General features: G+C 37.7%; 1 protein-coding gene across 10 annotated transcripts in view; it reads right to left on the bottom strand.

Moving 5' to 3' along the window:
• The window catches only part of ZNF569 (zinc finger protein 569), a 58,109-nt gene that overhangs the window by 27,185 nt on the left and 6,934 nt on the right, over positions 1–23,990 (bottom strand). For 7 of the 10 annotated variants that reach the window (XM_006723048.5, XM_011526538.4, XM_047438278.1 and 4 more), the window contains 2 exons: positions 16,493–16,732; positions 6,566–6,623 (listed from right to left, as the gene is read on the bottom strand). In XM_006723048.5, coding sequence (XP_006723111.1) covers positions 6,566–6,623; positions 16,493–16,521 — 87 coding nt within the window. In that variant the 5' untranslated portion in view covers positions 16,522–16,732. Of the gene's footprint in view, positions 1–6,565; positions 6,624–16,492; positions 16,733–21,107; positions 21,208–23,990 lie in introns of those variants that run through there. The other 3 variants (XM_017026379.2, NM_152484.3, XM_011526539.4) reach the window with 2 other exon arrangements.

A 23,990-nucleotide genomic window follows, 5' to 3' on the forward strand; every position in this document is an offset into this window, starting at 1 on the left:
CACCTCTGCACTCCAGCCTGAGCAAGAGAGCAAGATCCTGTCACAAACAGCGACAACAAAGAATAACAACAAGCAGACACAAAGACCAATGGAACAGAACAGAGAACCCAGAAACAAATCCATACATCTCCAGCGAACTCATTTTCAACAGCGGTGCCGAGAAATATATTGGGGAAAGAACAGTGTCTTCAATAACTGGATATCCATATGCAGAAAAATGAAACCAGACCCCTATCTCTTGCCATACACAAAAATCAAATCAAAATGGATTAAAGACTTAAATCTAAGACCTCAAACTATGAAACGACTAAAAGAAAACAGAGGAAATTCTCTAGGATAATGGACTGGGCAAAGGTTCCTTGAGTAATATCCCGTAAGCACAGGTAGCCAAAGCAAAAATGGACAAATGGGATCATATCAAGTTAAAAAGCTTCTGTACAGCAAGGGAAACAATCAACAAAGTGAAGAGGCAACCCACAAAATGGGAGAAAATATATGTAAACTATCCATCAGACAGGGGATTAATAACTAGAATATATAAGGAGCTCAAATAACTGTATATGAAAAAAGTCTAATAACTTGATTTAAAAAGGGGGAAAGATCTGAAGACATTTCTCAAAGGACATACAAATGGCAAAGAGGTATATGAAAAGGTGTTCAACATCACTGATCATCAGATAAATGCAAATCAAAACTACAGTGAGATATCATCTCACCCCAATTAAAATGGTTTTTTTTGTTTGTTTGTGATGGAGTTTCGCTCTTGTTGCCCAGGCTGGAGTGCAGTGGTGCGATCTTGGCTCACTGAAACCTCCGCCTCCCGGGTTCAAGCGATTCTCCTGCCTCAGCCTCCTGAGTAGCTGGGATTTGAGGTGTGCACCACCATGCCTGGCTCATTTTCGTATTCTTAGTAGAGACGGGGTTTCACCATGTTGACCAGGCTGGTCTTGAACTCCTGACCTCAGATGATCCACCCGCCTTGGCCTCCCAAAGTGGTGGGATTACAGGCATGAGTCACCATGCCCGGCCTTAGAATGGCTTTCATCCAAAAGACAGGTACTAACAAATACTGGCCAGGATGTGGAGAAAAGGGAACCCTCATACACTGTTGGTGGGAATGTAAATTAGTACAACCTGATGGAAAACAGTTTGGAAGTTCATCAAAAAAGTAAAATAGAACTATGATATAATCCAGCAATCCCACTGCTAAGTATATACCCAAAAGAAAGGAAATCAGTGTATTAAAGAGATATCTGTACTCCCTTATTTATTGCTTCCTTGTTTATTCACAATAGCCAAGATTTGGAATCAAGCTAAGTGCCCATCAGGAAATGCATGGATAAAGAAAATGTGATACATACACACCTTGGAGTACTATTCAGCCATAAAAAAGAAGAGCCTATCATTTGCAACAACATGGATGCAACTGGAGATCATTACGTTAAGTGAAATAAGCTAGACACAGAACGACAAAGCTCACATGTTCTCACTTATTTATGAGAGCTAAAAATTAAAACAACGGAACTCATGGAAATAGAGCACAGAATGATGGTTACCAGCAGCTAGGAAGGATAGTGGGTGGGGGAAATGGGGATGGTTAATGGGTACAAATATAGTTAGAATGAATAAGATCTAATATTTGATAGTGCAACAGGACAACTATAGTCAACAATAATTTGTACATTTAAAAATAACCAAAAGAGTAAATTGGATTGTTTGTAACACAAAGGATAAATGCTTGGATAGATACCCTATTTACCCTGATGTGATTATTACTCATTGTATGCCTGTATCAAAATACCTCATGTACCTCATAAATGTATACCTCATACATGTATACACCTACTACGTATCCACAAAAACTAAAAATTAAAAAAACTAACAACAAAGAATCCTATATTTAGGAAACTTATCTTTCAAAAATGAAGGTGATTATGTTAGGTGAAAGAAGCCAGACACAAAAGGTCACATATTTTATTATTGTATATATATGAAATATTCAGAATAGATAATATAGCCAGAATAGGTAAATCCACAGAGACAGAATGCAGAATGGTGTTTGCCAGGGGCTAGGAGTGAGAGAGGGATAGGGGAACAGATGCTTAATGGGTATGGGGTTTTATTTTGAGGTGATAAAAATGTTACAGAACCAGATAGAGGTGGTGGCTATACAACACTGTGAATGTACTAAAGACCACTGAATCGTAGAATGATTAATTTTAAATATGTATGTGAATTTCAGGTAAAAAAATAAGGTGAAATAAGTAAAAACAAAGAATTCAATGCTAGCAGACTAGCCTCATAAGAAACACGGAAGGAAGTTATTCAGACTGAAAGGAAGTAACAAAAAACAATTAAAATCCACATGAAAAAATGAAGAGCTCCAATAAAGCACTAAGCAGAATGCAGAGCACACAATGATAAGTATATATCAGCTGAACTAATTTCATTTTCTTAGGTACTCTGCCCTACATTTCTGGAGAAGTGAACCTTTTATTTGTAGATGAAGACTTAATATGGCAACAAAAGAACAAATAAATGTGATATCCTTCCTCTATGGGCTAATTTTCTTCTTTATCAATGCGCTTTATCACCAAGAATATCTTGAGACCTTCCATGGCCTTATTTTATACTACCTTGGCCTCTACTCAGCACTCACTGGCTCCAAACACGTTTAACCAGTATACTAGTTTTGAAGTACATTTTAATCTATGTTTCCTTATGCCTCATACATTTTCTCCACTTAACTTTATTGAAAAAGGAAAGACAGAGGAGAAGATGAAAGGGGAAAATCCTCTCCTTCCTCTTACAGGCCTGGAATAGAGGAAACAAAGGCCTTGAAGGTAGGGAGGTAATATGTGCCTAGAACTCCCCACACTCTAAGGCATGAGTGTGAAATGCAAGAGAAGCAGTGAGTTAAGTGGGAAAAGTGTCATGTCAAACTGAGAGAATAACTTCTAAGTAGCTTTCAGTTCCCATGTAGCACAGACCCTGAGTAGGATGAAGTAGGGTCATTTCAGAAGGCAAGGTGAGGCTGGGCATAGTGGCTCATGCCTGTAATCCCAACACTTTGGGAGGCCGAGAGGCAGGAGGATTGCCTGAGCCCAGGAGTTCGAGATCAGCCTGGGCAACATAGTGGGACCTTGTCTCTACAAATTGTTTTTTTAAATTAGCCAGGCATGGGGGCACGTGCCTGTACTCCCAGCTACTTGGGTAGCTGAAGGCGGGAGGATTGCTTGAGCCCAGCAGGCAGAGGTTGCAGCGAGCTGAGATTGTGCCACGCCAGCCTGGGTGACAGAGTAAGACCCTGTTTCAAAAAAAAAAAAAGAAGGCAAGATGCTCCTACATGCATGCTGTGGGGTTTAGGGGACCCAGGAAGCATCTAGAGAATGACAGATTCAGAGAGATCTACAGAGATAGCAAGAACCAAAGGAGGCCAGTTGATAAAGAGAGGTCCTTGGACCATCACTGAGCTGTGAAATACACCATAAATTCATCAGCCACTGAATGTCCTGAAAAAGGAGCTAGCTAAATCATCCAGCATATACCCAAGCTATGAAGATCTTCCCTGTTATCTCAAACACCACTTTAACAGAGAACAGGGATACAAAGTAGAATCTGAATGACTAAATAATTGTCAAGAGAACAATTTGCTGATTGAACTAAGTTTTGAATCAGACTGCATTAAAATTAGTTTTTTCATTTTATCAATCAGAACTCACAGGGGATAGCAGAGTGAGTTTAGAAACACTCTGGGCCTCTTGGAGCTTAGATTCTACTTTGGGGACAGGGAAATGAAAACATAAGCAAGTGAATAAGTGAGATAAAATGTGATATTGATAAGTTAAGAAAATGCAATAAAGGTAATGGGTTATGGAATGAATCAGAAACTCTACTTTGAATTTAGTAACCAAAGACAACCTTGAGGAAGATGACATTTCAGCAGAAACCTGAATGATGAGAAAGAACCAGTCATATAAATATCTAGGGTAGGAACATTTAAAAGCATGTTCAGAGTTCTTGGGGCAAGACAAAGTTGGTCTGCTCAAAGCGGGGAAAGGTTAGTGAGGGTGAAACACAGTGAATGAGGGAGAATGTAGCACAAGATAATGGTGAAGACATGGGCAGAAGGCATACCAAGAGGGGCTTTGTAAGGGACGTTATTCCACATGTAAAGGAAAGACACTAGATGGTATTAAGCAGAGAAGTCATAATAAAACCTTAGGTTTAAATTATCACTTTGGTTGTTCTATGGAGAATGGACTATAGATGGTCAGGAGTGGATACAGGGAGATTAGTAGGCAGTTGCCAGAGTAGTTCCAGGTAAGAAATGAAGTGACATGGATTATAAGATCCATGGAAATGTTGATCAGAGAATATAATAATATTCAGCAATGAGATTAACTGAACTACAACTAGATGCACCAATTTAACATGGATGAATCTCACAAACATAATATTAAACAAAAGCCAGACACAGAATACACAGATTATATAAAGTTAAAAGACAGGAAGAAACAATTTATGGTGATAAAAGTTGAACACTCCTGGGGTGGGGGTGATGACTAGGAAGTATAGAAAAGGTATCCTAGAGTGCTAGGGTAATTCTGTATTTCTTCACTGAGTGTGTGCGCTGTGTTACACAGGTATGTTCATTTTGAAAATTAACTGAGTGTGCCTGAGGAAGAAACTGGAGATATATAGAAGCTGGCAGATAAAAATACATGGTCGGCCGGGTGCTGAGGCTCACGCCTGTAATCCCAGCCTTTGTGAGGCGGGCAGATAACCCGAGGTCAGGAGTTGGAGACCAGCCTGGCCAACAGGGTGAAACCCTGTCTCTACTAAAAACACAAAATTAGCTGGGCATGGTGGCGCACGCCTGTAATCCCACCTACTCGGGAGGCTGAGGCAGGAGAATTGCTTGAACCTGGGAGGCAGAGGTTGCAGTGAGCCAAGATCGCATCACTGCACTCCACCCTGGGCAAAAAGTGAGACTCCAAAACACAAAAAACAAACAAAAAAAACCACGGTCAAAGAAAGGTATATCTCAGAAGAGCAAAGCTTTGAGCTGAGGGTAAAAAGTAAAATATGTTCAGTATCTGAGAGTGTAGGATAAATCTGAAAGAAAACCACAAGTATTCACAGAATATCAAGTGTACTAGGTGATCTTCTAGGTACTGGAGATACAGCAGTAAACAAAGTAAAACACACTCTCTGCTTACATTCTAGTGGTTAAAATTTTAAGAATTTACCAGAAATGATTACAGTGTGGCTCAATCAGCAGCAAATGCCCATTGAAAAAGATAATTACATAGGGTCATCTGAAAGACACACATCCCACCTCTTTCTTAAGATAGTCTAGTTTTCTCTCTTTAAATTTACGGGCCGGGCGCAGTGGCTCACACCTATAATCCCAGCACTGTGGGAGGTCAAGGCAGGTGGATCACTTGAGGTCAAGAGCTTGAGACCAACCTGGCCAACATGGTGAAATCCCATCTGTACTAAAAATACAAAAAAAAAAAAAAAATTAGCCAGGCGTGCTGGTGGGTGCCTATAATCCCAGCTACAATGGAGGCTGAGGCAAGAGAATCACTTGAACCCGGGAGGCAGAGGTTGCAGTGAGCTGAGATCGTGCCATTGCACTCCAGCTTGGGCAACAGAGCAAGACTCCATCTCAAAAAATAAATAAATAAGTAAATAAATAAATAAATTTATGTATGACATGCATAGAGTAATGTGGTAAAATGGACTAGTCTTAAGCATAAAATCTGATAAATCTGTATACATTTATAGACATGGGTACCTACCAGTAAGTCAAAATACAGAACATTTTCACCCCTCCAGATTTCTTCATGCTGTTTCACAGTAAATACCCTCTCAGAGGTAACCAGTATTCTGACTTCTATCACAATACATTAGTTTTGCCCATTTTCAACTTTATATGAATGGAACCCTATGATATATACTTTTTTGTTTCTGGCTTCTTTCATTCTATGTTTGTGTAATCTATCCATGTTGGTTGTTGCGTGTAACAGTCATCTGTTCTTTTTTATTGTTAAGTAGTATTTCACCGTGTGAAATACTATAATTTATTCCTTTTCCTGTTAATTTTCATTTGCATTGTTTCTAATGCTGGGCTATTTTGATAGTTACACTTTGTTTTATCCTTGATCGAAAGAGAACATCAAAAGAGCTAGGTTTATCAACTACAAGAAGTAACACTACAATGTTTTCATTGACCTAGGTATCAATGAAAAGCTTATTTCTGTTAGAAAATGTTGATTTTTTATTGTTACAATGAAAATTATGTAACAAATTTTTGCTCTGGTTTTCTTTACCTGTAAAAAGGAAATTTAAATTTGAAGCCCAGCTTTAATCTCTCTGAATGAATTTCATAAAATACCCACATTTTAACTCTTCCCTAGTTTTAATCGTTCAACTCTATTTCCCCTGAAAATATGTTTTATGTATACAGACCTTTATAATTTACTGTATGAATTACTGCAATCCCCTTAAATTGCATTGGAGAGTAAGGCAAGAAACAAATACACTATTTAACATTTACCTGGGACTCAGTCATTTCCTCTTCTTTCTGGGAAGGGATGGGGCCTGCAGAAGTAGAGCTGGGGAAGAGAATAAAAGTCATTAAAATAGGCCTGTCTTTAGTTTCAGAAACATGCACACACAGGGTGGATTAAAGGTCACCCTGTAGTGGAATGATAATTAAATCTATCAGAAATGCCAAGAATATTCATACCACAAAGGTTCTTAATAGGTGTGAGGATGATTGGAATAATCATGCAGAGCTTGGGCACAGGGTGGATAGAAACAGGGGTGCGTATGTGGGAGCTCTGTATCAGAGAATACATGTAGCATCATGAAAGCATATATGCAGGAAAATTATGAAACTGACAAAACACCTAAAGTATTTTAAAGTATTGAGACATTTAAGACAGTCATAATTAGCAATTAAAAAAGAAGTAGCAATTTAAAAGAATTTAAAAGGTGATATATCTTGAGGAACAAATAAAAAGTTTTTATGTGTGAGTAATGTGTATCGGAGGTACTGATGGTAAGAGAGTTAAATCCGTACTTTTCCCTAGCCAGAGCAATCAGACAAGAGAAAGAAATAAAAGGCATCCAAATTGGTAAAGAGGAAGTCATACTGTTGCTGCTGCTGATGACATGATTGTATACCTGGAAAACCCTAAAGATTCATCCCAAAAGCTCCTAGAACTGGCAATTGAATTCAGCAGTTTCAGGACACAAAATTAATGTACACAAATCAGTAGCCCTGCTATATGCCAACAGCAACCAAGCTGAGAATCAAATCAAGAACTCAGCCCCTTTTACAATAGCTGCCAAAAAAAATAAAATGCTTAGCAATGTACTTGACCAAGGAGGTAAAAGATCTCTATAAGGAAAACTACAAAACATTGCTGAAAGAAATCACAGATAACACAAACAAATGGAAACACATCCCGTGCTCATGGATGGGTATAATCAATATTGTGAAAATGACCATATTGCCAAAAGCAATCTACAAATTTGATGCAATTCCCATCAAGGTACCACCATCATTCTACACAGAACTAGAAAAAAAAACAATCCTAAAAATCATATGGAACCAAAAAAGAGCCCACATAGCCAAAGCAAGACTAAGCAAAAAGAACAAATCTGGAGGCATTACATTATCTGACTTCAAACTATATTATAAGACCACAGTCACCAAAACAGCATGGTACTGGTATAAAAACAGGCATATAGACCAATGGAACAGAATAGAAAACCTAGAAATAAAGCCAAATACTTACAGTCAACATATCTTTGACAAAACAAACAAAAACATAAAGTGGGGAAAGGAAACCCTATTTAACAAATGGTGCTGGGATAATTGGCAAGCCATATGTAGAAGAATGAAACTGGGGCCAGGTGTGGTGGCTCACCCCTGTAATCCCATTACTTTGGGAGGCCAAGGTGGGCGGATCACGAGGTCAGGAGATTGAGACCATCCTGGCTAACACAGTGAAACCCCGTCTCTACTAAAAATACAAAAAAATTATCCAGGCATGGTGGCAGGTGCCTGTAATCCCAGCTACTTGGGAGGCTGAGGCAGGAGAATGGCGTGAACCTGAGAGGCGGAGGTTGCAGTGAACCAATATCACACCACTGCACTCCAGCCTGGGCAACAGAGCGCGACTCCATCTCAAAAAAAAAAAAAAAAAAAAGAATGAAACTGGATCCTTATCTCTCACCTTATACAAAAATCAACTCAAGATGGATCAAAGACTTAAATCTAAGACCTGAAACCATAAAAATTCTAAAAGATAACATTCGAAAAACCCTTGTAGACATTGGCTTAGGCAAAAACTTCATGACCAAGAACCGAAAAGCAAACACAACAAAAACAAAGATAAACAGATGGGACTTAATTGAACTAAAAAGCTTCTGCACAGCAAAATAATCAGCAAAGTAAACAACCCACAGAATGGGAGAAAATCTTCACAATCTATACATCCAAAAAAGGACTAATACTCAGAATCTACAAGGAACTCAAACAAATCAGCAAGAAAAAAACAATCCCATCAAAAAGTGGGCTAGGACATGAATAGACAATTCTCGAAAGAAGATATACAAATGGCCAACGAACGTATGAAAAAATACTCAACATCACTAATTATTAGGGAAACGCAAACCATAACCACCATATGATACTTCACTCCTGCAAGAATAGCCATAATCAAAAAATAATAAATGTTGGCATGGATGTGGTGAAAAGGGAACACTTTTATACTGTCGGTAGGAATGTAAACTAGTACAACCACTATGGAAAACAGTGTGAAGATTCCTTAAAGAACTAAAAGTATATCTGCCATTTGATCCAGCAATCCCACTCCTGGGTATTTATCCAGAGGAAAAGAAGTCATTACAGGAAAAAGATACTTGCACATGCATGTTTATAGCAGCACAATTCGCAATTGCAAAAATATGGAACCAGCCTATATATAAAAAGGAACAAAATAAAGGCATAAAAACAGAGTGAATTTTACTGTATACAAATAGAATTCAACCAGGATGTGAATTCTGGGAGGTGGAATCTAAAATAGAATGTAGAATATGACACATTAATTTAACTGTACTACAGAAGAGGTTTATGGTAGATTCTTTGGCATTTTCTACTTAATTATGTTGTCTGCAAATAGAAACAGTTATATTCCTTCCTTTTCAATCTTTATGTCTTTTATGTACTTTTCCCTTATTGCACTGGCTAGGAATTCCAGTACAATAGTGACTATTATAATAGTAGTAAGAGAGGACATCCTTGCATTGTTCCCAGTCTTAGAGATAAAGCATTCAGTATCTCACCATTAACTGTAATGTAGCTCTAGGTTTTTTGAAGATGCCCTTTAGTAAAGGTTGTTCCCTTCAATTCCTAGTTTGCTGAGGAGTTGCTTTGTTTTTTGTTGTTAACATGAATGAATGTTTGTCAAGTGCTTTTCTGCATCTACTAACAGTCATATGTTTATTCTCTTATTACAGTCAACTGTAGTAATTGATTTTCAAAGGATGAACTGGAAATTCATCTCATATTCCCAAGATGAACCCTATTGTGATATACTTTTTTCATATTGCTAGATTCAATTCACCCATATTCTGTTGAGGATTTTTGTTTCTAACTCCATGAGGAATACTAGTCTGTAGTTTTCTTGTAATATCTTTGGCTTTGGTATCTGGGCAAAGCTGGCCTCATAAAATCAGATGAAAAGTCTTCCTCCTCTTCTATATTCTGGAAAAGTTTGTATAGAATCATTAGAATTTCTTCCGTAGATGTTTAGTACTTCACCTGGGAAATTATCTGGGTGTGGAGTTTCCATTTTGGAAGGTTTTTAATCACAAATTCAATTTCATTAATAGATATACAACTATTCAGGTTATTTCTTATTGTCTGAATTTTGGTAGTTTATGTCTTTCAAAAAATTTACTCATTCATCCAAGTTGTCAAATTCGCAGGTATGGAGTTGTTTGCAGTATTCTTTTATTATCCTTTTCAAATCTGTGGGGGTGAGTGTGACACCCTATCTTTCATTCCTGATATTATCAGCAATTTGTTTCTTTTTTTCAACTTTTATTGATCTTTTCAAAGAACAAGCCTTTAGTTCACTGATTTTTCTCCATTATTTTTGGTTTCAAATTGTCCTGAATTATGCTGTAATCTTTTTTTTTTTTTTTTTTTTTTTTTGAGACGGAGTCTGGCCCTGTCGCCCAGGCTGGAGTGCAGTGTTGTGGTCTCAGCTCACCGCAAGCTCCGCCTCCCGGGTTCACGCCTTTCTCCTGCCTCAGCCTCGCGAGTAGCTGGGACTAAACGCGCCCGCAACCACGCCCGGCTGATTTTTTGTATTTTTAGTAGAGACGGGGTTTCACCGTGTTAGCCAGGATGGTCTCGATCTCCTGACCTCGTGATCCACCCACCTCAGCCTCCCAAAGAGCCACCGCATCCGGCCTATGCTGTAATCTTTAATATCCGTTTCCTTTTGTTTGCTTTGAGTTTAGTTTGCTTGTTTCCCCTCTAGTTTGTTAAGGCAGAAGTGTAGTAATGATTTTTCTAATTATTTATATCATGTAATGCAACAAACTTCCCTGTATGCACTAATTTAGCTGCTTCCCACATATTTTGGTGTGCTGTATTTCCATTTTCTTTCGAATTATTTTTTAATTTCCTATAATGTTTCTTGACTCATGGACTATTTAGAAGTGTGTTTCATTTTGAAATATTTGGAGATTTTCCAGATACCTTTCTGTTCTTTACTTCTAGTTTTATTCTGCTATGTTCTGAGAACAGACTTTGAATGACTTTTATGTCTTTAAAATTCTTGACATTTCTATTATGGCCCCAAATATGATCTATGTAGGTGAATGCCCATGCGCACTTGAGGAAGACATGTATTCTGCTGTTGTTTAGAATGTTCTATAAATGTCACTCACATTTGAACACCGAAAAAATTGACATTCAATACATGAATGTTGGTTGATAATGCCGTTTTGGAGTCTTCTGTAACCTTTCTGATATCCTTTCACGCTCTATCGATTCCTGAAAGAGAAGTTTTAAGTCCCCAACTATAATTGTGCGTGTGTCTATTTCTCCTTTCAGTTCTATCAGTTTTTGCCTCGTATATCTTGAAGCTCTGTTAGCTGCATACACATTTATGATTGTTGTCTCTTCTTACTAACCCCTTGAGCATTATGTTTCTTCATCCCTGATTAAATCCCTTGTTCTAAACTTTGTCTAATATTAAAGTTGCTTCCTCTTTTTTTTTTTTGGTTAGTATTTTGTGGCTTTTTTTAATATCATTTGCTTTTAATATACTTATTTATCTTTATATTTAAAATGGGTATCTTAGGCTACTCCATCTTGTAGTCTGGTAGTTAAAATGGGTTTCTTGTAAAACAGCATTTAGATGAATCTTGCTCTTTTATTCAATGTGATAAGCTCTATCTGTAACTGGTGCATTCAGAATGATATTAAAATTGATTACTGATACAGCTGGATTAAGATGTACCATCTTCTTAGCTGTTTTCTATTTGCTCCTTTGTTCTTTTTCGCTCTCCTTCCCCCACTTTTCTCCTTTGGTTTCGTTTAATTGCACACTTTTTATTATTCTGTTTTATCTCCCACTTAGTCATTGTGGATGACATTTTAATGTACTGTTGGACATGGTTTTCTAGTATTTTGTTGGGGATTTTTGCATCTGTGCTCACCAGGAATACTGCCCTGCAGTTTTCTTGTGTCTCTGTCTTGCTTTGGTATCAGGTTAATGCTGGCCTCATGAGTCTGGAACTGGTCCCTCCTCCTCAATATTCTGAAAGATTTTGAGAAGGATTTCCATTAATTCATCTTTAAATGTTTGGTAGAATTCACCAGTGGAGCTGTATGGTCCAGAGCTCTTCCATTAGGAGGTTTTTGATTCCTGATTCAGTTTCCACACTAGTTATAGGTCTGTTCAGACATTTTATAATATTTCTTCATGATCTAATCTTGGTAGTTCGTATGTTTCTAGGAATTTAATTTTTTATTCTAGGTTATCCAGTTTGTTGATGTATAATTGTTCACAGTTTTTTCTTAAGATCCTTTTTACTTCTGTGGCATCAGTTGTATTGTCTCTTCTTTCAATTCTGATGTTATTTATTTGAGTCTTCTCTATTTTTTTCATAGTTTAGCTAACGGTTTGTCAGTTTATCTTTTCCAAATACCAACTGTTAGTTTCTGTCACTTTTCTATTTAATTTATTTATGCTCTCGTTTCCTTTATTTCCTTTCTTCTGCTAACTTTGGGCTTAGTTTGCTCTTCTGATTCTAGTTCCTTGAGATGTAAAGTTAGTTGTTTATTTGAGATCTTTCTTCTTTTATCAGGTAAGAGCTTATCCATATGAATTTACCTCTCAGTTCTGCTTTTGCTGCAACTTATAAGTTTTGGTATGTTGTGTTTTTGTTTGCCTCAAGGTATTTTCTAATTTCATTTTTTATTTCTCGTTTGACCCAATGGTTATTCAAGATTATGTTCATTTCAATATACTTCTGGATTTCTTGGTTTTCCTTGTTATATTGATTTCTAGTTTCATTCTACTGTGGTCAGAAAATATATTTGGTATGATTTAGATATTTTAAAATTTTTTAACATTTGTTTTGTGATCTAATATATGATGCATTATGGAGAAATGTCCATGTGTACTGGAGAAGAATATGTATTCTACAGCTGTTGGGTATAAAGTTGTGTAGATGGCCAGGCACGGTGGCTCATGCCTGTAATCCCAGCACTTTGGGAGGCTGAGGCAGGCAGATCACCTGAGGTCAGGAGTTCGAGACCAGCCTGGATAACATGTTGAAACCCTGTCTCTGCTAAAAATACAAAAATTAGCTGGGCATGGTGGTGGACACCTGTAATCTCAGCTACTCGGGAGGCTGAGGCAGGAGAATCACTTGAACCCGGGAGGCGGAGGTTGCAGTGAGCCGAGATCGTGCCACTGCACTCCAGCCTGGGTGACAGAGCAAGACCCCATCTGAAAAAAAAAAAAAAAAAAAAGTTCTGTATATGTCTCTCAGATCCATTAGGTCTACAGTGTTATTCAAGTCAAATGTTTCCTTATTGATTTGTCAGGAAGTTCTGTCCATTATTAATGGACAGAAAGTGGGGTATTAAAGTCTCCTATTATATTGTATTGCTGTATATTTCTCCCTTCAATTTTGCCAGTGTTTCTTTTACATATTAGATGTCCTGGTGTTGGGTGCATATATATTTATAATCATTCTATCTTCCCAGTGGGTTGACCTATTATCATTATAAAATGTCCTTCCTTGTCTCTTGTGACAGTTTTTTACTTAAATCCTATTTTATCTGACATATGTATAGCTACCCCGCTGTCTTTTGGTTACCATTTGCATGGATCATCTTTTTCCATCCCGCACCTTCAGCCTATGTGTGCCGTTAAGATCTGAAGTGAGCTTTTTGTAGACAGCATATAGTTGGGTCTTGTTTATATATCCATTCAGCCACTCTGTTTCTTGATTGGGGAGTTTAATGTGCGTTTCCTGTAATTATTGCTAGGGAAGAATTTACTATTGCTATTTTGTTAGTTGCTTTATGTTAGTCTTCTTCCTTCATCTCTTCTCTCTTGCAGTCTCCCTTTGTGTTTTGTTAGTTTTTTGTATTGATATGCTTTGACTTCTTTCTCTTTTGTGTAGCCTCTATGGGTAATTTCTGGCATATGTAGTTAGTTTGGGGCTTACATAAAATATAGATGTAACAGTCTATTTTGAGCTGGTAACAAACTTAAGTTTAATCACATACAAAAACTCTTCATTTTAAATTCTCCTGCCCACATTTGGTTATAACTGTCACAATTCACATCTATTCACAGTGTATCTTTTAACATATTTCATATCTATTTTTAATACTTTTGTCTTTTAACTTTCATAGTAGAATTAAAAGTTATTTACCCACCACCATTATGGTAATGCAGTATTCTGTATTTACATATATATTTACCTCTATCAATGAGTTTCATACTTTTCTATACTGTCTTTTTGCTGTTTGGTGTTTTTTCATTTCTATTTGAAAACTCCCTTTAGCATTTTTTATAAGGCAGGTCTAGTGGTGATGCTTTGGTTTGGGAAAGTCTTTCTCTCATCATCATTTTTAAAGGATAGTTTTGCCAAGTATAGTATTCCGGGTTGGCAGAGATTTTTTTGTTATTGTTGTTTGTTTTGTCTGTTTGATCTTTCAGCTCTTTGAATATATCATTCTACTCTGTTCTCGCCTGCAAAGTTTCTGCTGAAAAAAATCCCTTAATAGTCCTATAGATGTTCCCTTGTATGTGACAAGTTGCTTTTCTCTTGCTGCTTTCAAAATTCTGTGTTTGACTTTTGACAATTTGCTATAATGCATCTTGGTATGGGTTTGTTTCATTTTATTTTGTGTCCTTTGTGCTTCCTGAATCTGGATGTTCGTTTCCTTCCCCAGCTTTGGGGAGTTTTCAGCCATTACTTTTAAAATAAGCTTTCTGGTCCTTTTTCTCTATTTTCTCCTGAGATTCCCATAATGCATATATTAGTCTGCTTGATGGTATTCTATAACCCACTTAAGCCTTCTTCACTCTTTTTCATTATTTTTTATTATCACTCCCCTGACTGAATTATTTCTAATGGCTTGTCTTCCAGTTTGCTAATCCTTTCTTCTGCTTTATTTAGTCTGATGTTGAATCCTTCTAGTGAATTTTTCAGCCAATTCTCTGGAGAGCCCACAAAGAAAAGATGGCGTACTGGTTGCACAAACCAACCCCTTCTCTCCCCTGGATGAGTTAGGGCATCTCTTCCTGACTGTCTGGTACTGTACCAGGGGCAGTATCTCCAGCAACAGGGTATCCTGAATCTCCCTACTAGCTTCACTAGTCTTGTTTCATGTTCTCTCAGGATGCAACAGCCTTTACAATTAGTTTCTGATTTCTCACAAACAGAATTTGTCTGTGAATTGTTGCTGAATTAGTATTTTGGGAAGGTGAGGAAGGGTCCAAGTCTTCCTACACCACCATCTTGCTGATGTCACCCCCCACTCCTTCATTTTGAAGGGGTATTTTTGCTTGGTGTGAAATCCTGGATTGACAGTTTTTCTGCACTTTAAAAATGATTCTCCCTTGTCTTCTTGCTTGCATGGTCTCTGATAATAGATCTGCTATATGTAATTCTTATTCTTGTTCCTCAATAGACAATTTTTTTCTTGTTATCTTCAAGATTTTCCTTTTATTTTTAGTTTCCAGCAGTTTAAATATAATATGTGTAGATGTGTTTTAAAATTTTGTTTTGGTATTTATCTCTGAGCTTCTTGGACCTATGGTTTCGTGTCACTAACTTGGAAAATTCTCAGCCATCATTTATTTAAATACTTTTCTTCCATCTCTGCTCCAATTACCCATCAGGTCCATTTCATATAAGTCATAGTTATCTTAAATTCCTGTTGGGTTGTTGCAATACCTATGTCATAACTAAGTCAGTTATGATTATTGCTTTGTCTCTTTGAAGTATGTTTTTTCTTTTTCTTCTTGCCTTTTTATATGCCTCATAATCTTCATTGAAGGCTGTACATCTTGGATAGTACAGTAGATATGAAGGTTAAGAAGTTTTTACACTTAAACATGAGTATGTCTTTTCTTCTGCTAGGTTTTTAACATGGGGGGTTATGCTGGTCTATTCAATAGCTGGACAGGGTTTGAGGTTTGTCATTGCTGTGGTTACACTGAGTGTACCCCAGGCTTCAATAATATCCTCTAATAATATCTGTGTTTAAGGTAAGGGTTGATTTCCCATGGTTGTTTTCTCAATGCATGTTTCTCCCTTAGTTTTGGGTGTTCCATTTGTGCTGCTCCCCAGAGAGAATCTCTCTTGCAGGCTTCCTAGCTGTACTCTACTATTGCTTCTATTTGATTCTTGTTATCTTGGTGGGGGTTGAGTAGACGGAGGGATAGCATTCTCTTATGATCTCACTAAGCCTCAGTCTTAGGCAGACACCATATCCCTAAGTCTTGGGGATGTGGCCTTCACAAGTGCTCTTGCCGCTCTGCCAGCTGTAGTGCTAGTCCTAGAGCATATTCCTCCCCTACTCCCAGAGATATTACTTTTTTTCAGGTCCCTTTCCTAAACTGCAATAGCTTTCTACAAGTCTCCTAAGGCAACTGTTTTTGCTGCTCTTCATTATGCAGTGATAGGGAAGATGGGTTTGGGCTGCTGTTGCCCTCCCCCAGCTAACACCACAAGGAAAGGCTTCTCAGGATTCACTCCCATCTTCCCTATGAGTGCCTGTTGGGATTCCCAGAGGAAAAGCCTACAAGAGACTGCAACCCCCACCTCCCTAATTTTGCAAGTCCCCCAGTGGTTTCACACTTTCATTAGCTGACATTCACACTTTAAAAATTTGTTTAAAAACTTGATAGCTGTATTTTCTTACTGGCTTATATGGTGTCTGGCAGAGTCCATCCCAGGTAAGTAAAGCTTGAGTCCTGTTTCTCTCAGCTGGCATCTTTCTTTCCCCAGATTTAAGATTACTTGGTTGCCCTGTGACCTCAGTTCTCTGAAGGGTCCTAGAAAAATTATTTTGTAGTTTGTCCATTTCCTTGTTGTACGGTAGAAGTTTGTAGTTTCCTTGTTGTAATGATTGAAGCAAAGTTCTTTCCAGCTGTTTACATCCCTAAGGAGAAACCCAAAGTCCCCTCATTACAATAAACTTTTGAGAAGTCCTTCAGTTTATTTTGTCATGGGGCTCAAAAATACCTTGCAAATAAAGTTAGGATTAGGATAACAGTTTAAAGTCAAGTAAATTAGCTAGGATGGAGTGGGAGTGGGAAAGCATTACAAGCAAAGCAGTAGCAATTGGTAAGGCCTCAGAAAAGACGGAATTCAGTATACTGGAGGAACTCAACTTTAAGCTAATTGAGGAAATACTTTAGAAATAAATTCACAAACTAAATGTTATATTCATAACAAATGTTATTTTTCTTTCCACTGCAAAGAACTTACTTCCAGCCATATCAATTTGTTTAGTTTCTGGACTATCATGCATGATTCCCTCCTGAAATGAGCTCTGATACAGTTAAAATGCTTACAGCAACTGCCATATCTACATAATAATATATATTTTTTAACACTCCACTTGCTTGAATCCACGTTTTGCCAAAAACCTAAAACTCATTGAAAGCTCTACACCTGGCAGCATCTCTCAAGGCAGAAATTCTCTAGTTAGCGTGAACTAACTCACAGACTGGGGATATGGCTCTGTGGTGGACAACAGTATTTTCTCCCCCACCCCCAACTCTTTCCTAGTCTTCTCTCCACTATTTCCATGTGTCCCCGGATTCCAGGTCCTACCACACCACTTTGCAACACATGTTTAAATCACAAGGGAAAAGGGCCAATGACACATGAAAGAAGGATATAAGGGCTGGACCCACTTATATAAGGGCACCCACTGATGGCTGGAAGAACAGCATTAAACTCTGTGGGTACCGCTCTATCTGGGATCTAAAGTTGCCAAAGCCAGTTGCAACTACAGGAATCAAAAATTTAATTTCTCAAAAGCTTCTTTACTTTGTTTTCTCTTTAATTTGGTTGGCATGTTTGAAAACATTTTTATTCTACTCTCATACTCAAATAATAATTTGGCTAACTGTAGGCTTCTCAGAAAAACAGTTTTTCCTTAGAAATTTAAAGCAATGTGACTTCACTTTGTGGCTCCAGTGACTTCTAGTGTTGCTGTACATTGACATTCTACTTCTAGATCATTCCAACTTTTTTTTTCCTCTGTAGAAAGTTTTTGGCCTTTCTTCTCTCTTATTGGTTTCCGATAGTTGGTGTGGGTTTTTCTCATTAATCGCACTGAGCTTTTGGTCAGTATATATCACGGACATACGGTCATTTCAATCCGTATATTTATTGTTCTCTTCTAGGAAATTTTCTTGCACGTTTTTGTTTTCATTTTCTCTACTTTCTCTTACGTATAATTCCTAAGAATAGGATGATCTATCCCTTAAACTGATCATCTAAGTGTCTTATATTTTATCTCTTAACATTTCTACTTCTCTCTTAGGGCCCGTATGTTTGAGAAGGAAGCTCCCACTTATGTTAGTTAAACATTAAGTCACAGAGCTCTCCATTAAGAAAACTTTTTCTTTAGACAGGGAGTTGAAGCTTCATAAAACAGTTTAACTGCCTCCTACTTTCCTTCCCTCTAGTTCACTCTAAACATACTTGTATGTATACATTCTAGAAATTTTCTTCCAAAATTTATTACTTTTAAAAACTCGAGGCCAGGCACAGTGGCTCACACCTGTAATCCCAGCACTTTGGGAGGCTGAGGTGGGCGGATCACAAGGTCAGGAGTTCGAGATTGGCCTCGCCAACATAGTGAAACCTCACCTCTCCTAAAAATACAAAAAATTAGCTGGGCATGGTGGCAGGCGCCTGTAATCCTAGCTACTCAGGAGGCTGAGGCAGGAGAATCGCTTGAACCCAGGAGGCGGAGGTTGCAGTGAGTCTAGATCGCGCCATTGCACTCCAGCCTGGGCAACAGAGGGAGACACCGTCTCAAAAAAAAAAAAACAAAAAACAAAAAACACAAAACTCAAACTACAAAAATGTTGGAAGATCAGTACAAAGAATACTTCTAAAACCCTTAATCTATATTCAGCATTGCCACATTTTTCTACCTCTCTTTCCTTCTCTAAAAACATATACACAAACTTCACGTTAACTCTTTCAGAATGTACCTCCAAAAACTAAGAAGCCTCCTACATAAACACAATGCCATTATCACACCAAAGATATTAAACATTCGTACAATAAAATATATTATCTCTATACTTCCCTAGTTGTCGCAACAATATCCTTTAAAACCAATTTTAAAATAAATTGAGGATTTAATCGAGAATTCTATACTTATAAAATGCATCTTAAGTAACACTCCCCTGTTTAAACTTCTTTTTTTCCCCTTGCCCAAAATTTACTGGCTTATGGTAACAGAGAAACTGAGGTATGTGGAAATATGAAAGAAAAAGAGAGTGATGGAATGTGGAATTGGTATATAATGTTTAAGAATAAACAAAATAACCATGGAATACTATGCAACCATAAAAAGGATAAGTTCATGTCCTTTGTAGGGACATGGATGAAGCTGGAAACCATCATTCTGAGCAAACTATCGCAAGGACAGAAAACCAAACACCACATGTTCTCACTCATGGATGGGAACTGAACAATGAGAACACTTGGACACAGGATGGGGAACATCACACACTGGGGCCTGTCATGGGGTTGGGGGAGGGGGGAGGGATAGCATTAGGAGATATACCTAATGTGAATGACGAGTTAATGGGTGCAGCACACGAACATGGGACATGTATACATATGTAACAAACCTGCATGTTGTGCACATGTACCCTAGAACTTAAAGTATTAAAAAAAAGAATAAACAAAATAAAACTGGAAAATCTTAGATATTTTTATATTCTTTTTTTTTGGAGACAGAGTCTCGCTCTGTTGCCCAAGCTGGAGGAGCGCATGGCTCGCTGCAGGCTTCATCTCCGAGATTCAAGTGATTCTCCCATCTCAGCCTCCCAAGTAGCTGGGACCACAGGCATGCACAACCATGCCTGGTTAATTTTGATATTTTTGGTAAAGATGGGGTTTTGCCATGTTGCCCAGGCTGGTCTTGAACACTTGGGCTCAAGTGATCTGCCCACCTTGGCCTCCCAAAGTGCTAGGATTATAGGCCTGAGCCACCATGCCCAGCCTGATATTTTTATATTCTTTATGGAGTCCTTTTTAAAAAGTGTATTTTATTTTAGATTCAAGGGGTACATGTGCTTGTTTGTTACATGAGTATTACCTTAAATTACTTCAATGACAACTTTTATAATTTTGTTTCTGAATACCTCATTAGCTTCATCTTTCACTCCTTGAAAGTAAACTCCAGCCATACATAATTACATACCTTTCTTAAAATATACAAAGCATTGCTCCTTAACAGTTACTGTATATTACGTTTCCATGCCTAAAAACTATCTCTTGATTGCTGATCATCAGTTCCTTCTTGCCTTTGACCAATACCTTCTTGTTCTTAAAGAGATCAGATTAAGAACAACTTTATCATTTGATTGGGATATCCGTCTATGTAGATCTATTTGTACTTCTGTATCTCATGAGCTTAACCATCTTGTGGCATTTATCACTCTGCCAGTGCACCCACTGATTTATCTAAGTAGGACTGTGAACCACTTATGGCAGGGACTGGTCATATGGTTTGATGTTTCATGGCCCAGCACAACCTATATAAGAAAAGATGTGCAGTAATTTTGTGCAATGAATTTAAAATAACTATGATTAATATTTTGAGTGCTCTATGAGAAAGTTAGAAAAAGAGATGGGTACTGTAAGCAGGGAAATGCGAACTATAAGAAAGAATCAAAAGAAATGCTAGAAATCAAAAACATATTAATAAAAACAAAGAATGCCTTCAATGGACTCATCAACAAACTCAACACAGTAGAGGAAACAATCAGTGAACCTGAAAATAGAAACTTCAAAAGAAACTTCCCAAACTAAAATGCACAGAGGAAAAAGAATGAAAAACAAAAGAGAACATCCAAACCATGGGAGAACATCCAAACCATGGGACAATATCAAAACATGTATCTATTAAACAGACATCTATTTTCCCAATTAGAAAACCAAAAGGAGAAAAAAGAGAACACAGATGAAATATTGTAAGTAATAATGTCCATGAATGTTTCAAATTAGTGACACACACCAAACCATAGGCTGAGGAAGCGCAAAGAACACTAAGCAAGATAAATACCAAAAAAAACCACACGTGTATATCATATTGAAACTGAAAAAACAACAACAAAAAAAAACAAAGAAAAGATAGTCAAGGAACCCAGAGAAAAGTAACACCTTACCTATAAAACAACACTGATAAAAATTACAGCAGACTTCTTGTCAGAAACTATATAAACAAGAAGAAAGTGGTGTGAAATATCTAAAGCATTAAATGAAAAAGAGCCACCAACCTAGAATTCTCTCTATCCAGGGAAATTATCCTTCAAAGTTGAAGGAGAAATGAAGACTTTCATTTCTAACAAAAACTAAGGGAATTCATCACCAGCAGACCTACCCTGTAAGAAATGTTAAAAAGTTATTTAGGCAGAAGAAAAACAATATAGGTCAGAAACATGGATTTACATAAAGAAAGGAAGAGCACCAGAGACAAAATCATGAAGGTAAGATAAAATCTTTTGGTTCTTTTATTAGTAATTGATCTAAAAGATAAATGTTTGTTAAAGGCTATAATGATAACAATGTATTAGGTGATTACAGCACACGGATAAGTGAAATGAATGACAGGGACATCACAAGTGACATAACAACGGAGAAGAAGGGGGAACTGGGAATACTGTTGTAAAGTTCCTGCACTACATATGAAGCAGTATAGCATTTTCAAAAGTGAATTTAGATTACTTAAAAATACACATTGAAAACTCTAGGGTGACACTAAAATTTTTTAAAAGAAGTATAAATGATAAAGTAAACAGGAGATAAAATGAAATAATATAAAATGCTCAATGAAAACCGTAGTAATCAGACAAAGGAGGGGAGAAGAGAAGAAACAAAACAAAGAAATAAAAAAATTTTCTATTTGCATACGAAGCAAATGGAAAACAGCTAGGAAGATGGTAGTGAGCTAGGAAGATGGTAGTGTTTTTTTGTTTGTTTGTTTGTTTTTGAGACAGAGTTTCACTGGAGACTCCAGCCCAGGCTGGAGTGCAGTGGAACGATCTTGGCTGACTGCAATCTCTGTCTCCTGGGTTCAAGCAATTCTCCTGCCTCAGCCTCAACTGGGATTACAGGCATGCACCACTATGCCTGGCTAATTTTTGTATTTTTAGTAGAGACAGGGTTTCACCATGTTGGCCAGGTTGGTCCTAAACTCCTGACCTCAGGTGATTCGCCTGCCTTGGCCTCCCAAAGTGCTGGGATTACACGCATGAGCCACCACGCCTGGCCAATGGTAGATGTTAATCCAACTACAAAAATAATCACACCAAGTGTAAATGGTCCAAACACAGCAATTAGAAGACAGATTGTCAGAGTGCATTTAAAAAAAAAAAAACAACTATATATGTCTATAAGAAACCCACTTTAACATTCAAGTTACAAGTAAAGAGATGAAGCTAGGCGTGGTAGCGTGCACCTGTAGTCCAAGCTATTTGCAGGGGCTGAGGCAGAAGTTTGCTTGAACATAGGAGTTCAAAGCTGCAGTGTGCCATGACTGCATCTGTGAATAGTCACTGCACTCTAGCCTGGGCAATACAGTGATACCCTGTCTCAAAAAAAAAAAAAAGTCAAGGGATGAGACTGGTGGCCTATCCTTCCCTAGAAATGAAAAAAACAAACAAAAGGCAAAACCTGTCTGAACCAGATTTTCAGAAATTCTGGGAGATAGTCAAAGGTTGCACCCAAGCAAACACTTAACAAAAAAATTTGAGCTTCAAAAAGAAAATAAGTGCAGTGATTTAAAACACATCAAATATGCTAAAAATGATGAATATATAATGGTGATAATAATAAAAACAACCCACTAGGAGATGCCAGGGAACCACTCCAATAACTCAAAATCATATAAAGGGAAATAATCCATTTATTCTGCCTTTTCTGTACAAACTGTACCTAAGGGTGAACAAAGAGTTGACGAGGAAAATTTTTTCTTTAGGAAAATATTCTAGCTAGTAAACGAAGTAATGACAGAATTAGAATATCGCCATTTTGTAGCCCTTACTGAAATAATGGGTCTAGTTAGTAATCATCCATGTTTTCTAAAACCGGTATAGTGGTAAGAAGAACTGTTCTATTTTTAAAACATATGAAAAATATCCTCTTTTTTTTTTTTTTTTTGACAGAGTCTCACTCTGTCAGGCTGGAGTACAATGGCGTGATCTTGGCTCACTGCAACTTCCGCCTCCTGGGTTCAAGCGATTCTCCTGCCTCAGGCTCCAGAGTAGCTGGGACTACAGGTGTGCGCCATCATGCCCAGCGAATTTTTGTATTTTTAGTAGAGACAGGGTTTCACCATGTTGGTCAGGATGGTCTTGATCTCTTGATCTCGCAATGTGCCCACTATGGCCTCCCAAAGTGCTGGGATTACAGGCATGAGCCACCATGCCCAGCCCATCCTTCTATGTCTCACCTTACTTCCTCTAATATTACAACCCAATAGTCCTTCAGCCCTGTCAGGAGCTTCCATTCCTTGATTCTACTAATTTTTTACTGTCCTTCACTCTCTTCCTATCCTCACTTTTCCACTTACCTAGCCTAAAATCCACAGTCAAAACAACAATCAATTATTTTGCCAACTTAAGACTCTTCTTGCCTCTCTCTCACATTATTCCTCTTTGCTTCATGAAACCAACATTCTGGTTAAATCCAAATCTCCCCCTAGCCTGTCTGGCTGCAACTATGCGGATGAACACTGCAGGAGAAAAATCACACAGCTACACAGAATAGGCTCACTTTAAATTCATAAATACTAACATTAAGTGGGTCTTTGATGGTGCCTGAAAATCATAATTTCTCTATTCTCTGTCCCAATCTCTGTGATTTTTTTTCCCCTGTTCTTCTCAAACTCTAGCACGTCCTCCACCAATCTCACTCTCATTTGAGTCTCTTGCTAGGTACTTCACTATAAAGTTAAAACAATCATAAGAGAAGGTTTACAAGTTCTCACCAACACATCTGCCCATCTACTTGTATCTGTGCCTGGGTACTTCTCCCTCTCTCCTGTTATTGCCGTGGTCAAGCTCCAAGCTCAGCCAAACTCTGCCACTAGATCTCATTTGCTCTGGCTACTTAAGGACATTTTTATATTATCTGCTTTCTCTCCTGTATTGTAGTTTCTC

This window comes from Homo sapiens, chromosome 19 (assembly GCF_000001405.40).
Source record: "Homo sapiens chromosome 19, GRCh38.p14 Primary Assembly".
NCBI classification, from domain to species: Eukaryota; Metazoa; Chordata; class Mammalia; order Primates; family Hominidae; genus Homo; species Homo sapiens.